The following is a 13,467-nucleotide window of genomic DNA, read 5'->3' as shown; positions in this document are numbered from 1 at the left end:
GGGATTAGAGGCATGTGCCACCATACCTGGCTCATTTTTGTATTTTTAGTAGAGATGGGGTTTCGCCATGTTGTCCAGGCTGGTCTCAAACTCCTGACCTTCAGTGATCCACCTGCTTTGGCTTCCCAAAGTGCTGAGATTACAGGTGTGAGTCACAGCACCCAGCTAAGCAATCATTTTTAAATGTTCACATTTTTCTTACTATTATGACTACAGCCGTTTGTTGCTTAACAGCAGGGAAAAGTTTTGAGAAATACATTGTTAGGTGATACAGTTATTGTATGAACATCATAGAGTGTACTTACACAAACCTAGATGGAATAGCCTACTGCACACCAAGGCTATGTGGTACAGCCTATGGCTCCCAGGCTGCAAACCTGTACAGCATGTACAGTATTAAATACTGTAGGCAATTGTAACACAATTGTATACATATGTCTAAACATATCTAAACATAGAAATGATACAGTAAAACTACGTTTGCTAAAGGTAAAAGCAAATGATTTGCCTGTATAGAGCACTTACGATGAATGGCGCTTGCAGTATTAAGTGAGTCAGTGAGTGAGTGGTGAGTGAATGTGAAGGCCTAGGACATTACTGTACACTAGTGTCGAATTTTTAAACACTGTGCCCTTAGGCTACACTAAATTAAAAAATATTTTCTTTCTTACGGTAACTCTTACTTTATAAACTTTCAATTTTTTTAAATTTTTGACTCTTTGATAACAATGCTTAGCTTAAAGGACATTTTACAGCTTATAAAATGTATTCTTTATATCTTTATTCTATAAGCTTTTGTCTAGGTTTAAATTTTTTTCACATTTAAATTTTTTTTTTGTTAAAAACTAAGACACAAGCACACACATTAGCCTGTGCCTACAGAGAATCAGGATTATCACTATCACCATCTTCCACCTCCACATCTTGTCCCATGGAAAGTCTTCAGGGATAACATGTGTGGAACTGTTATCTCCTGCAATAGCAACGCCTTCTTCTGGAATACCTCCTGAAGGACCTGCCTGAGGATATTTTACAGCTAACTTTGAAAAATCTAACTAGAACGCATGCAGTCTAAAATAAAGATTAAAAGTATAGTAGGGTAAATATATAAACCAGTAACATTTATTATCATTATCCAAGTATTATGTACTGTACATAATTGTATGTGGTATACTTTTATATGACTGGCAATGCTGTAGGTTTGTTTATACCAGCATCACAACAAGCACATGAGTAATCTATTGCCCTATGATATTACCATGGGTATGACATCACTAGGCAATAGGAATTTTTCAGCTTCATTATAATCCTCTGGGATCACAATTCTGCATGCAGTCTGACATTGGCCAAAATGTCGTTACGTGGTGCATGACTGTATATCCATACATCTGAATAATACCCTTATATTATTTTTGGTTCACCTTTTGTTTTTCCTTAATTCCATACTTGTTTTCTTCTGGCTTTAAGTGCTTTTTCAAATATTTATTTTCTTCCTCCCACTCTCAAACCTATGATGTCCTCTTTGCAATACATTCCATACTTCACTGCACTCCACAGCACAGCGACCATCCTAGAGTTCTCTCTTCTTCTGATCAAAACTGTATCTGTGTTTTCTAAGATCTTCTGCATGGATTTCATTTGAGGAAATCACATCACTACTTTCTAAGTTGGATCAGCTCCTAGGATTCTTGGTCTATTTCTTGTCTATTTCCTCATTTTGCTATGGTATTTTCTCAAAGATTTTTCCAGGAGAGCATTTATGCAGGTAGAGTATTTGATTCCATGTATTATGGCTGCTTAGTTACTTCTGATTCATAGATTGGCTGGAAAACTGGATTGAAAACACTGAATGAAAATAATGCTCACCCAGAATTTTCAAAGGCTTTATCTTTTTATCTTGTAGGCTCCATAAATGAAAATTTAAAAGTGGTCTCACTGTTTTGTGTTTTACTTTTTCTTTCAAAATATTCATTCAGGAAATCTTTCAGAATCTTCTCTTCATAATTTTTGGCAGGTTTACAAAAATAGGTCTAGACAATTCTCTATTTAAGCTTAACCTCCTTTGATCTCAAATAGGCTCATTTAACTTTGACAATACCTGTTTTTATCATTTCTGAAAATTTTCTGGATAGATACATATAAATCTCTTTATAGATTATTTCTTTTTCATCTCCCAGAAACTTGTAAAACTTGTAGGAATTTCTCGTTTGCTGTTATCTCCTTCCTGTTGTCTTTGAAAGTGAATCTGTGTTTAGTCATTTAGTAGTCCTTTAATGAACACTGCAAGGGAAAGAAAATAGAAATGTGCTTACTCTTGAACTATTTTTGAATGTTTTATTTAAAAATTTACATATATTTAGAGATTTAATTTATCTGTAAGTTATTTTCATGGTATAAGAGACCAAGTTTATGTTATTATTTTCCAGTAGATTGATTATTGCTACAACACCGTAAGTTTGAAGTAGTTGTTCTCTGTATCTTCTTTTGTCTGCTTCACACTCAGCTCAGTAAAGACTTTCTAAGTCTATTCAAGCATCCTATTCAAGATAGACTGTCTTTTCTATTTCATCATACTGGCTATTTTCTTCTGAGAACATAGAGCAGTCTCTAACTGTCTTGATTATGTATATGTTTATTTTGTTTATTTTCTGTTTCTTCCAACAGAAGGTATATTCCTTAGTTACAGAGACTTTATTGGTATTTCATCTATTGCATATACAGTCTTCCATAACTTTATTTTACCACATATATACAACTAAATGAATATAAGAATATGTGTTTTGTATGTATATGGGTGTCTATAGAAATATATACAGATACATATACAGTCATCCCTTTGTATCCACAAGGGATTGATTCCAGGACTCCCGAGGATACCAAAATTCACTGATGTTCAAATCCCTTATATAAAATAAAGTCGTATTTCCACATAACCTACCCATATCTTCTCACATACCTTAAATCATCTCTAGATTACTGATAATACCTAACACAAGGTAAATGCCATTTAAATAGTTGTTATACTCTATTGTTTAGGAAATAACGACAAGGAAATAAAGCCTTTACATATTCAGTACAGACACAACCATCCTCTTTTTCTGAATATTTTCAATGTCTGGTTTTTTGAATCCACAGATGCAGAACTTGACACAGATACAGAGGGCTAACTTTTATGTATATGAAATACAATATGGGGGAACAAATATTCTGCTTTGTCTTATCTTAACAATCTGCACAAATATTCTGCAATGTCTTATAGAACATTCTGCTTCTATAAGAATGTTGAAATTTTGTTGTTTGGTTTCCTCTTAGATTTTCAAAACCTGCTTTTTAGTTGTTTTGGGGAATTACACCTTGTTTTTTTGAAAGTCTTACGCATGCAGCGATTAGTATAATGAGATGTGTGTGTAAAGCTGCAGATTTAAGTTTATAATTTTAAGCTTAATTATTTTAAATGCTAATTAACAATATTGAACATCCCAGATTTAAAAAAGTGATTTATCAAAAATGTTTACAAGGAACAAGAACAGGAGTTATAAGCTTCAGGAAAAGTCTTTGCTATACCTTTCACCTGATCTTTTCAAGGAAGACCTCTTTTCTCTGAGAGGACATTGAAGTAATATCCGGACAAAGGCTCCACATGATCCCTTCCCAAAGAGACAGTGATACTCTAAATCAAATCAAGGGTGTTTTTATTGCTCTCTGGAATTACACAAAAGTTTGAAGAGTTGAAGAATCACTGCCTTTGTCAAATAGCATCACTGAAACATTTCCTCATTTAAACTATCCTCTTGAAGACCCAACTTCTATAATATCCATAAAAATAATAAATGTTATGGTTTATTGAAAATTTACTGAGTTCTATATCAACCTGTTTTATTATTATGCAGAAACTTCTTGGTAAAAAATACTTTTTATTACCCTGATATTTAAGTGGCTTAAAACAACAATAAATACCTGTAAGCCTCAAAGTTTCTGTGAGTCAGGAATTCAGGAGCTGCTTAAGTAGGTGTCCTAGCTCTGAATCTTTCATGAGGTTTATGTCAAGATCTCAGTCAAGTCAGAGGAAGTCTTGACTGAAATAGAGAAGCTGATTCCAAGATGGCTCAGTGAAATGGGCAGGAAGTCAATGAAGCCTACTGGTAGAAGCCCTTGGTTTCTCCCTTGTAGCTTCTTGAGTGTTCTCACAACATGATGATTAGCTTCCCAGAGTCAGTGATCCAAAAGAGTGCAAGATGGAAGTTACAATGCATTTTATGACCTAACCACAAAATTCATGCACAATCAAGTCACTTTACCCAGCCAAATTTCAAGAGGAGGGAAATTGAACAGCACTCTTTGAAGAGAGGAGTGCAAAAAAATTTGAGAAAAAATTTTAAAGCCACCACACTCATCCTAATACAGGAGCTAGAAAGAAATTATTTAGGCAAATAGAGAGGGTAAAGGAGTCCTCAGCACGGCTTCCCTTTTAGCAAAAAGCAGCTCCCAAATCATTTCTTTTTTAACAAAAAGCAGCCTGAAAAATCGAACTGCAAACATAGATAAGCAAGCTGGAAGCTTGCACAGGGGAATGCCGACAGCTGTGCCAATAGAAAAGGCTATCTGGAAGCCAGGTATGTTCAACACGAAGGCTCCATCTTCACTTTTCTTTGTCGCTACGTGTACAGTAAAGAACCAGGCAACATGGCACTAGCCAAGTAGAGAAGCCATCTGCATAATAAAGATTAGGGTGGGGTGGCCAGCTTCTTCGCACCCTATGCAAATGGCACACCTGGTCTGACCAATCTTTCATGCCCTATGTAAAGCAGACACCACCCCATCAAGCTCATTTATATAACCTTCTGAATTTCACTGTAGAAGCAGTAACACATTTTCTCCAGGACCGCGCGTTCTGTGCAGAGAGCTATTCTCTTGCTTTCGCCTATTAAATTTCCACTCTTAACCTCATTCTGGTGTATCCATGTCCTAGTTTTCTGTGGACATGGGACAACAAACCTTGGGTGTTATCCCAGATGAATGACACTACTTCAATCTTGAGGACATTCTTCTCCTTCACATCCAGTACCAAACCACCACCAAATTCTGTGGATTTTATTAATTATATGTCTCTTAGGTTGTTCCACTCTTCTCCACCCCTACTGCTATTAAAATTACCAAGACTACCCTCAACTCTCTTCCTGACCACTAGAATTGTCTCTTAATGGGGCTATGAAGATACATGTCCATAATATGATCTGTAAGGCACTACATGATCAGGTACTTGTAGTGCTCTCCAGCCTCATTTGTTATTAGGTTGGTGCTCTCTTTCTCTCTTCCAGCCATGCTGACATTCTTCTAGTCTCTTGTATTTTCCGTACTCTTTCCCATCACAGGTTCTAGGAAACTTTCTCTTTTTACCTGTCTGTTCAACATTTTCCTGCCTGAAACTCTGGAGCACTATTTCAGAAGTCCTTCATCCTATAAATTTTCACTGAGTTTTATATAAACTGATATATTTCTTTTGAATTATTCAAAATCTTGCTTAGTATACCAAAACCAAAACCAAACTGTTAAATACAAAACAATATAAACCCCAGACTACTTTAAATATCCATTCAGCAGTTGGGCTATAAAAAACCAAATGTCATGAATGAGAAATTATTTAAGGAAAACTAGTAGACAAGTCTGTCAGTCAAGGCCCCTACAACTACAAGTTTGCAAAGTGATTTTGAACCTCTTTTGCTAAAGCAATTTCAACCAGGAGTTGAATTCATGAACTGGGATGAATCAATCAGATTCTTAATTTTATGGTGCTCAGTCTTTGCTGAAGTTTGTCTGTTTTTTCTACATTTGAGTCTCATAAGATACTACTATCACCATTCAGCGCTCTTTTACATAAACAAGGTTGAGTGGATTTCTCTTCATTTCAATTAAAAATATCCCTGACCGAAAGAGTCATGGTATTCAATGAAAAAGCCAAATTTCAGCATAAGATTTTGGCAGTTTTCTAAACATATGTGTATGTCACATCATTTGTTTTACTAAACTTATCTGTGAAAAATATGTATTGGTAAAATGTCTGGCTTGCCCAAGGCAAAACAACTAGTTAATGACAGAAAAGAACAAAATACAAGCTTCCTGGCTAGCCATCTGGAGCCTCATCCATTGTATCATGGTACCTTACATTTTATTATCTTGAGCATGACACAGTAGGAGCTAATAAGTCTTTCCTAAGTAATTTTCAGTGTATTCTGAAACACTTAATTAGTTTCCTTTAAAATAAATAAGTCATTAAGAAGCTACAAATCAGTGAGTTAATTAGCTGCATTATGGTCTTTTAGCTCTTTCAGTTGAAATAAGCTGATGCCAAATCTATAAAGAAATAAACTATTACCCACGAGAAGAGACAATTTTTAGGAAGTTATAACAATTACCATGAATTTCAAGTTTAGCATTTTCAAAGCTTAGTCAAAATGAATGAGTGCATGATGAAAATAAATCTTATAGATAAAACCAATAAATTGTATAAAGATTAGATTTAAGAAATCTCAAATAATTACACTAATTTTTGTCATATATTTCACTATTGAATGGAGTCCTCCTTCCCCACCCCAACCCCACCATAACCCAATATTAAGTCTTCACACTCAAATATGCTATGTTCATGTACAAACGATATATAATTTATCACTGGCAACTGGCAAGCACTGAATATAGATACCCCTAATAAGCACTAATTTATGTAAGTCCTGAATGTAACACTACTGCAATATCAAGCCTGGTTAAAAAGATACTGACAGCATTTCAATTCACAACTCTGGTTTCATCTTTAAATGACAATTTTCAGACTATGATTTTGATGACTCAAGTTTCTCTTTTAAATTTCTACATCTTGATTTTTATCTACTTCTAAATCTTTGTTCTATAATACCATTACCAAACACCAGGGGTTCAGTTTAGATCCCATTGCTCACCTCACAGAAAGCCAATCACTGAGACAACGAGTATTGCCAGGAAAGAAAGTCTTTATTTGGGTGATGTTAGCCAGGAGACAGGAGATTAGTTTCACCTCCTCTCCAGTTGACTAAAATTGGAGGTCTATATAATAGGGAAGGAATGTAACTATGCACAAAAAAACAAGAATTAGGGAGGGGTAAAGAAGAGGAGTTGATCAACAGAAAGCGTGTAGTCAGTTGGACAATCATGATAGATGAGGATTTTGTTGTTCATTATCTGGATGTAGTGATCTGGTACATTTCAGTTCCTTGATACTATCTGGGAGAACTGATGGCAGGTTTTCTGAGAAAGGAACGTAGATGAGACAAATGTAAGTCTCAAGTTTTAAGACCAGGAGGAGCAATTTCTATGCTTATTCAAAAAAATGTAAACATCAGCTCTATGGGAAAATTGGGCCAATTTCAATATTATTTTTATTATTCATCAGCATCACTCCTAACTTGGGCACAAGGATGAGAAATGAGAAAGGTTAGACCTTCTCTAGTGTCAAACATGTACTCAAAGCATGACTACTGGTTGGTTTGGAGGATCAAATTCTGAGGCTTGACTTCTCCCTCATTATATTCAGTTAATTCATTTCAAAAATATTTATTTTTGAAATATTTATTTCAAAAATATTTATCTAGATACTTTGGATTACTTTTAGGGCTATTTAAACAAATGAAACAGTGACAATTTTTGCTTAAATAGTAGACCCTACAAAGGAGGCAGATAGACATATACCAATCCTGTAAAAATTGACAGTTACAATTGCAACAAGTGCTACCAAGGAAAGACAGACTTGAGACACATTTTAGCAGTATTTTCTAAAATCAGAGAGAATACTTAAGGCTTCCTGGGGGAATTATGCTTAAATCTGGATCATAATGAAAGTAAGAGTTAATGAGATGAATAGAGGACCATGAGCACTTTAGGCAAAGGCAATCACTAGTAGTAAGTTGGAATAGACCAGTCAAAGAGAACATGGTAAGGTGTGGTTGAATTATGGATAAAATTAGATGGTAAGGCCAACAGGATGGATATGATATGTAAAAGTTAGAAGTGGAGTCAGTAATTAGCAAAGATTTTCATCTTGAGAATTGGAAGAATAGAGCTGCTATTAACCAAGTTTGAAAGGAATGCAGAAAGAGCAAACTTGTGTGGAAATGACAAGAGTTTGATTTAGATGTAATGTCAGATATCCAAGTGGAGATGACAAGTAGGCAGTTGGACCCAATAGTCTGTAGTGCAGGGGAATTCATAGCTCGAGATATAAACTGAAATTGCTCAATGTAATCTATACTATGTCTGAAACTATTAGACTGGATAATATCACCAAGGGACGTGTCATTAGAGAAAAAAGTCTCAATATGAATTAATTGGATTTAGCTCTGTGGAGGATATTAGGACCTTGACAAGAGCATTTTACTGATGGAGTGGTGAAAGAGGCTGGTGTGGATTCAAGAGTAAATACAGATGTTGCTCAACTTATGATGAGGTTACATCTTGATAAACTCATCATAAGTTGAAAATATCCTGAGTTGAAAATATATTCAGTATACCTAAGCTACTGCACATCATAGTTTAGCCGACTCTACCTTAAACATGCTGAGTACACTTACATTATTAGCCTACAGTTGGACAAAATCATCTAATACAAAGTCTATTTTATAATGAAGTGTTGAATATCTCATGTAATGTACTGAAAACTGTACTGAGAGAAAAAACAGATGTAATCTGTATTATTTTAAGCCAGCCATTGTCAGTTTTTTAACAACAACAACAACAAACAAATGGCAGCCCAAACCATCAGAAAGTCAAAAAATAGTAAGTTGAATCATCATAAGGCAGGCATAAGCATCAGATTCCACAACAGAAAGTCAAAAAATAGTAAGTCAAATCATCATAAGCTAGGCACTGTCTATATACAGAGAGGAATTAGACATTGTGCGTATGTGTAATTAAAGTTTTGCTTTTAAGAGAAAGGGGCAGGTGGCTGAGACAAGTGATAGAGTAAAGAAAGTTTTTTTGGCGGGGGGGGTTTGGTTTTAACAATACAAATAAAAGCATGGTTTGAATGCTTATAGGAATGACCCTGTAGAGAGGGTGTTGTTTATTGGAAAATAAATGAAATCAGGAGATGCAGTGTGACTGAAAGGAAGTGCTAAAATCCATTTGAGAGTATGCTACACAAACTGAAAAGGAGACAGAATGTCTGATGTAGAAATCAGCAAAACCTCACTTTCCTGAATTAATTAGCCAGTGCACCACATTAAGTTATGTCTATTAATTACAAAAATTAATTATCAGAAAGTAGTTAAAATTAATCTTCTTAAAGTCCATATAAAATCTATGAAAAATTTTAAATTACTTTACTATCAACTGCCCTTATAATTTTTCTTTTTGCATTTATTTTTGCATGTTTACTATGATGTATCAAGTCTATTCTCTATCTTTCATTTTATCAACTTTCCATACTGCCTTCTATACATTTTCTTCTGGTTTGCTTTCCGAACAAGTAATTCTCTTTTTAGCTATGCCTAATCTGCTGTTAAGATAATTGAGTTCTTAATTTTATTTCATTCTTAAATTATGGAATTGCCATTTAGTTATTAATTATAATAGATTTCCATGTTGAAATTCTCAGTTTTTTTATTTTTTATCTACTTAAACATATAAAGCTTAATCACTGTAACAAATTCATCATCTGAATCTTTGGTTTATCTATTTCTATTTCACATTTGTCTTGAGTTGAAGATCTTAAAGTTAATTCTCTTTTACTTTTTTTCCTGCTTATTTATATTACATCCCAGGTGTTGTACATATGAATCAGATAAAATTTGAGGTTTAGAGTGATATATTCTTCCTCCCAAAATGATGTATTTAATATGTTTGCATTTATTTAGAGAGGTAAGTTGCTAGCAACCTGGGGTTAGTATTGCATTCCAGCTTTGGAAATTGAGAGGATTTCAAGTAATACTTATCTTCTTTCTAAGGTTCTGTATTTCTGGGTCATTCTTACTAAAGTTGAATTCTTAAAAGTTGTAATTCTTTGAGATCTCTAACTCATGTGAGTTCGCCATTTTGGTGAATCCTAGAATGCAATTTTTGTCTTACTAAATCCATAAAGTTTTCAAAACTGGTGTTCAGGTTGTTAGCCTCTCAGTTACGACTTACGGAATTTATTGCCACCCCAAAGGGACATGCATCTCCAAATATAGGGATTGCCTTCGAATTTCTTTTTATCTAGGTCTCAATCATGTCATTTTTCACTGGTGTTTTTAGCACTGCCATGGCACTTTTTAAAGAACCTTTTCTAGTTGCTTTAAGCGGAAGCTTTGGTTTGTTTTAAAGTGTAGGCTTCTACTTTCAATATTTGAGTGGCCTAGAAAAATTACTAACTTTTCTATATACCTTTGTTTCTTCATCTGTAATCCATAGGTAATTATGACTAATAACATTATTATGGTAATTAAATGATATGTATATTAATCCTGTGCCTAAGATATCAGGAAGCAGCTATCATTTATCTGCGAAAAATTAAAATTCCTAAGTCCTTATTCAACTGCAGGTAGAAATTAGATCACTTCAAAATAATAATCATATTTCACTGGCACATTGCTGACAGTGACAAGAATCAAGATCCTAGTAGCCCATCAAGTTTTAGCTATTTCTCTGTCTCCAGAGGTGTTTTAAAAATCTTTTTTTTTTTTTCCTTTTTTCAGGCAGAGTCTCCCTCTGTCGCCCAGGCTGGAGTGCAGTGGTGCTATCTCGGCTCACTGCAAGCTCCGCCTCCCGGGTTCACGGCATTCTGCCTCAGCCTCCCGAGTAGCTGGGACTACAGGCGCTCACCACCACACCCAGCTAATTTTTTGTATTTTTAGTAGAGACGGGGTTTCACCGTGTTAGCCAGGATGGTCTCCGTCTACTGACCTCGTGATCCGCCCGCCTTGGCCTCCCAAAGTGCTGGGATTACAGGCATGAGCCACCGCGCCCAGCCTTAAAAGTCTTTTAAATATTCTTCCATGGTGGCCTTCTTTTTTTAATTATTAATGTCCAAAAATTAACTTAAGGCCTACTTCACTGGTAGTGTCTTCACTGCAATGATTCTTTTTCTTAGCCACTTTGATTTAGTTTGAAATACTCGAAACATCACATATTCCCAGATGACCAAGTTTCTCTTTAGTTCTCCCTACATTGAAGCATAGGGAGATGGGTAAAAGGCTCATATCTTTCATTCTGTATCTTATTTTTCAAACTGTGGCTAGAAATATCAATTGCTTATGTTACTTACAAATTAGAAAAGCCCAAATACTAAATTTTTTTTCACAAGGGCCCATAACTCTACAGGACTGGCCCACGGAGGTAGTGAATACATAGTAAACTCTCTTTCTCCATCATACCCTAAACCTTCCCTGCTTCAGGAGCCTGGGCACTGATTTGTTCCCCAAGAGTCATTCTTCCCTCTGTGCAAATAACTTTTGAAAAGAGATACATGGAACATTGTGGCCCCATGTCTCAAGGTCTGTCTCAAACCCACGTTATGTTTCTCACCTTCAACTTTCGTATTTTCTCTGAAAATTTTAAGGTGTATTTAGCAGAGATACTTATTGGCAATTATATTAAAAGTCATCATAAAAGCATCTGTATTTATTGGCTATTTTCATCCTCCAAAAGTGAGTGAATATATTTTACTCCCCTATCATTTTTTTTTTTTTTGAGATAGGGTCTCACTCTGTTGCCCAAGATGGAGTGCAGTGACACAGTCATGGCTCTCTGCAGCTTTGACCACCAGGGATCAGGTGATTCTCCTGCCTCAGAGTAGCTGGGACTAGAGGCGTTTGCTATCTCTTCAGCTAATTTTTGATTTTTTTGTAGAGAAGAGGTCTTGCTATGTTGCTCAGGCTGGTCTCAAACTCCTGGACTCAGTCATCCTCCCACCTTGGCCGCCCGGTGCTGGGATTACAGGTGTGAGCCAATGCACCCAGCTATTACTCTCTTATCTTATTGGATATTATTGTTAGATTTTGATGTTCTGTTTCAATACTTGAATGAATTGGTTTCTGCCAACATTTATGAAATTAAAGTTTCTGAACTTTCAAGTAGCATGTCTTTATATAAATAAGAATATATAAAATACCTAAGTTAAAAAAAATTCATTGATGGGAATGTGTATGAGCCCACACAGAGTTCCCAAGAAAAGTTAATAGTAAATGAAATACTTGGTGCAGCACAGAAAAGAAGAGTGAAGTGTGGGAGGCAAGCTAATTACCACAGATTTTGAGGAGATTCATAAATAAAAGACTATTCGAAAAAGTCAAAGCTGCTTCCTTCCAAAGTACCGATCATAGCTAATTTGCTAACAATCTTAGTAACTTGCTATAAATACGTCAGCTCTGTTGAAACTAGGAGGTTTAGACAAAATAGAAATGGCTTTGATGGTAAAGTTTCTTATCCAAAATTCATTCTAAATTAATATTGGGTTTCTTTTCACTGCCTCTTCCTACCCTGAGTTTTAAAAAACTTAAAAAAAGTTTTTGAATATGTGTGTACAAATGATGTGGGCTATTTCAAATTTAGAGTAGGCTGCCAAATTGGTTATATGGAGCCTCATACTATGTATTTATTACTGTGAGTTCCCTTAAATGACTAGTTTTCTAAGGGCTGTCTGCTAATGTTCACATGGTACAAGGCTCAGATATTACTGTAATAAGAAGAAAGTTTTAGGAGAAATATATTAAAGTAAGAGTTTAGCTGATAGGAAGTCTTTCTGTAAGCAAAGCCTCCACCCCTTTCAGAAGAGGAAGGGGCCAGGCGCGGTGGCTTATGCTTGTAATCCCAGCAATTTGGGAGGCTGAGAAGGGTGGATCACGAAATCAAGAGATCCAGACCATCTTGGCCAACATGGAGAAACCCTGTCTCTGCTGAAAGTACAAAAATTAGCTGGGCGTGGTGGCATATGCCTGTAGTCCCAGCTACTCGGGGGGCTGAGGCAGGAGAATCGCTTGAACCCAGGAGGCGGAGGTTTCAGTCAGCCAAGATCGCGCCTCTGCACTCCAGCCTGGTGACAGAGCGAGACTCCGTCTAAAAAAAAAAAAGAAAGAAAGAAAGGGATAGACTATGTAAAAATGCTTTTTAGCCAATAACTCAATGTAAATTTGCCAACAATAAATTCTTTTGTGTAAAAAATGTGAATCTTTAAAAGTAAAATCAATTGCCCATAAGCAATTGAATGAGTCTGTATCATTGAAGGAAACATCAGTAGTACTTGAGTCCTTTCAGGCTGCAAAAACAAAATACTATAAACTGGATGGCTTATACACAACACAATTTATTTCTCCTGGTTCTTGAGGCTGGGAAGTCTAAGATCAGAGCACCAGCAAATTGTCTGGTTTTGGGCCTGCTTCCTGGTACATTGACCACTCTCTTTTCACTGTAACCTCACATGGTGGAAGGGGCAAGGAAAATCTCTGGGGCCTCTTTCATAAAGGC

The 13,467-nt window shown here is 35.7% G+C and overlaps 1 protein-coding gene across 8 annotated transcripts in view; it reads left to right on the top strand.

The window, feature by feature from the left end:
* The window catches only part of GLRA3 (glycine receptor alpha 3), a 192,328-nt gene that overhangs the window by 19,630 nt on the left and 159,231 nt on the right, over window positions 1-13,467 (top strand). The gene's annotated exons all lie outside the window — the stretch shown is intronic.

The sequence above is a fragment of the Homo sapiens genome, chromosome 4 (assembly GCF_000001405.40).
Source record: "Homo sapiens chromosome 4, GRCh38.p14 Primary Assembly".
Classification (NCBI taxonomy): domain Eukaryota; kingdom Metazoa; phylum Chordata; class Mammalia; order Primates; family Hominidae; genus Homo; species Homo sapiens.
The sequence above is the reverse complement of the archived record's forward strand: the minus strand, read 5'-3'. Positions and strand labels throughout refer to the sequence as shown.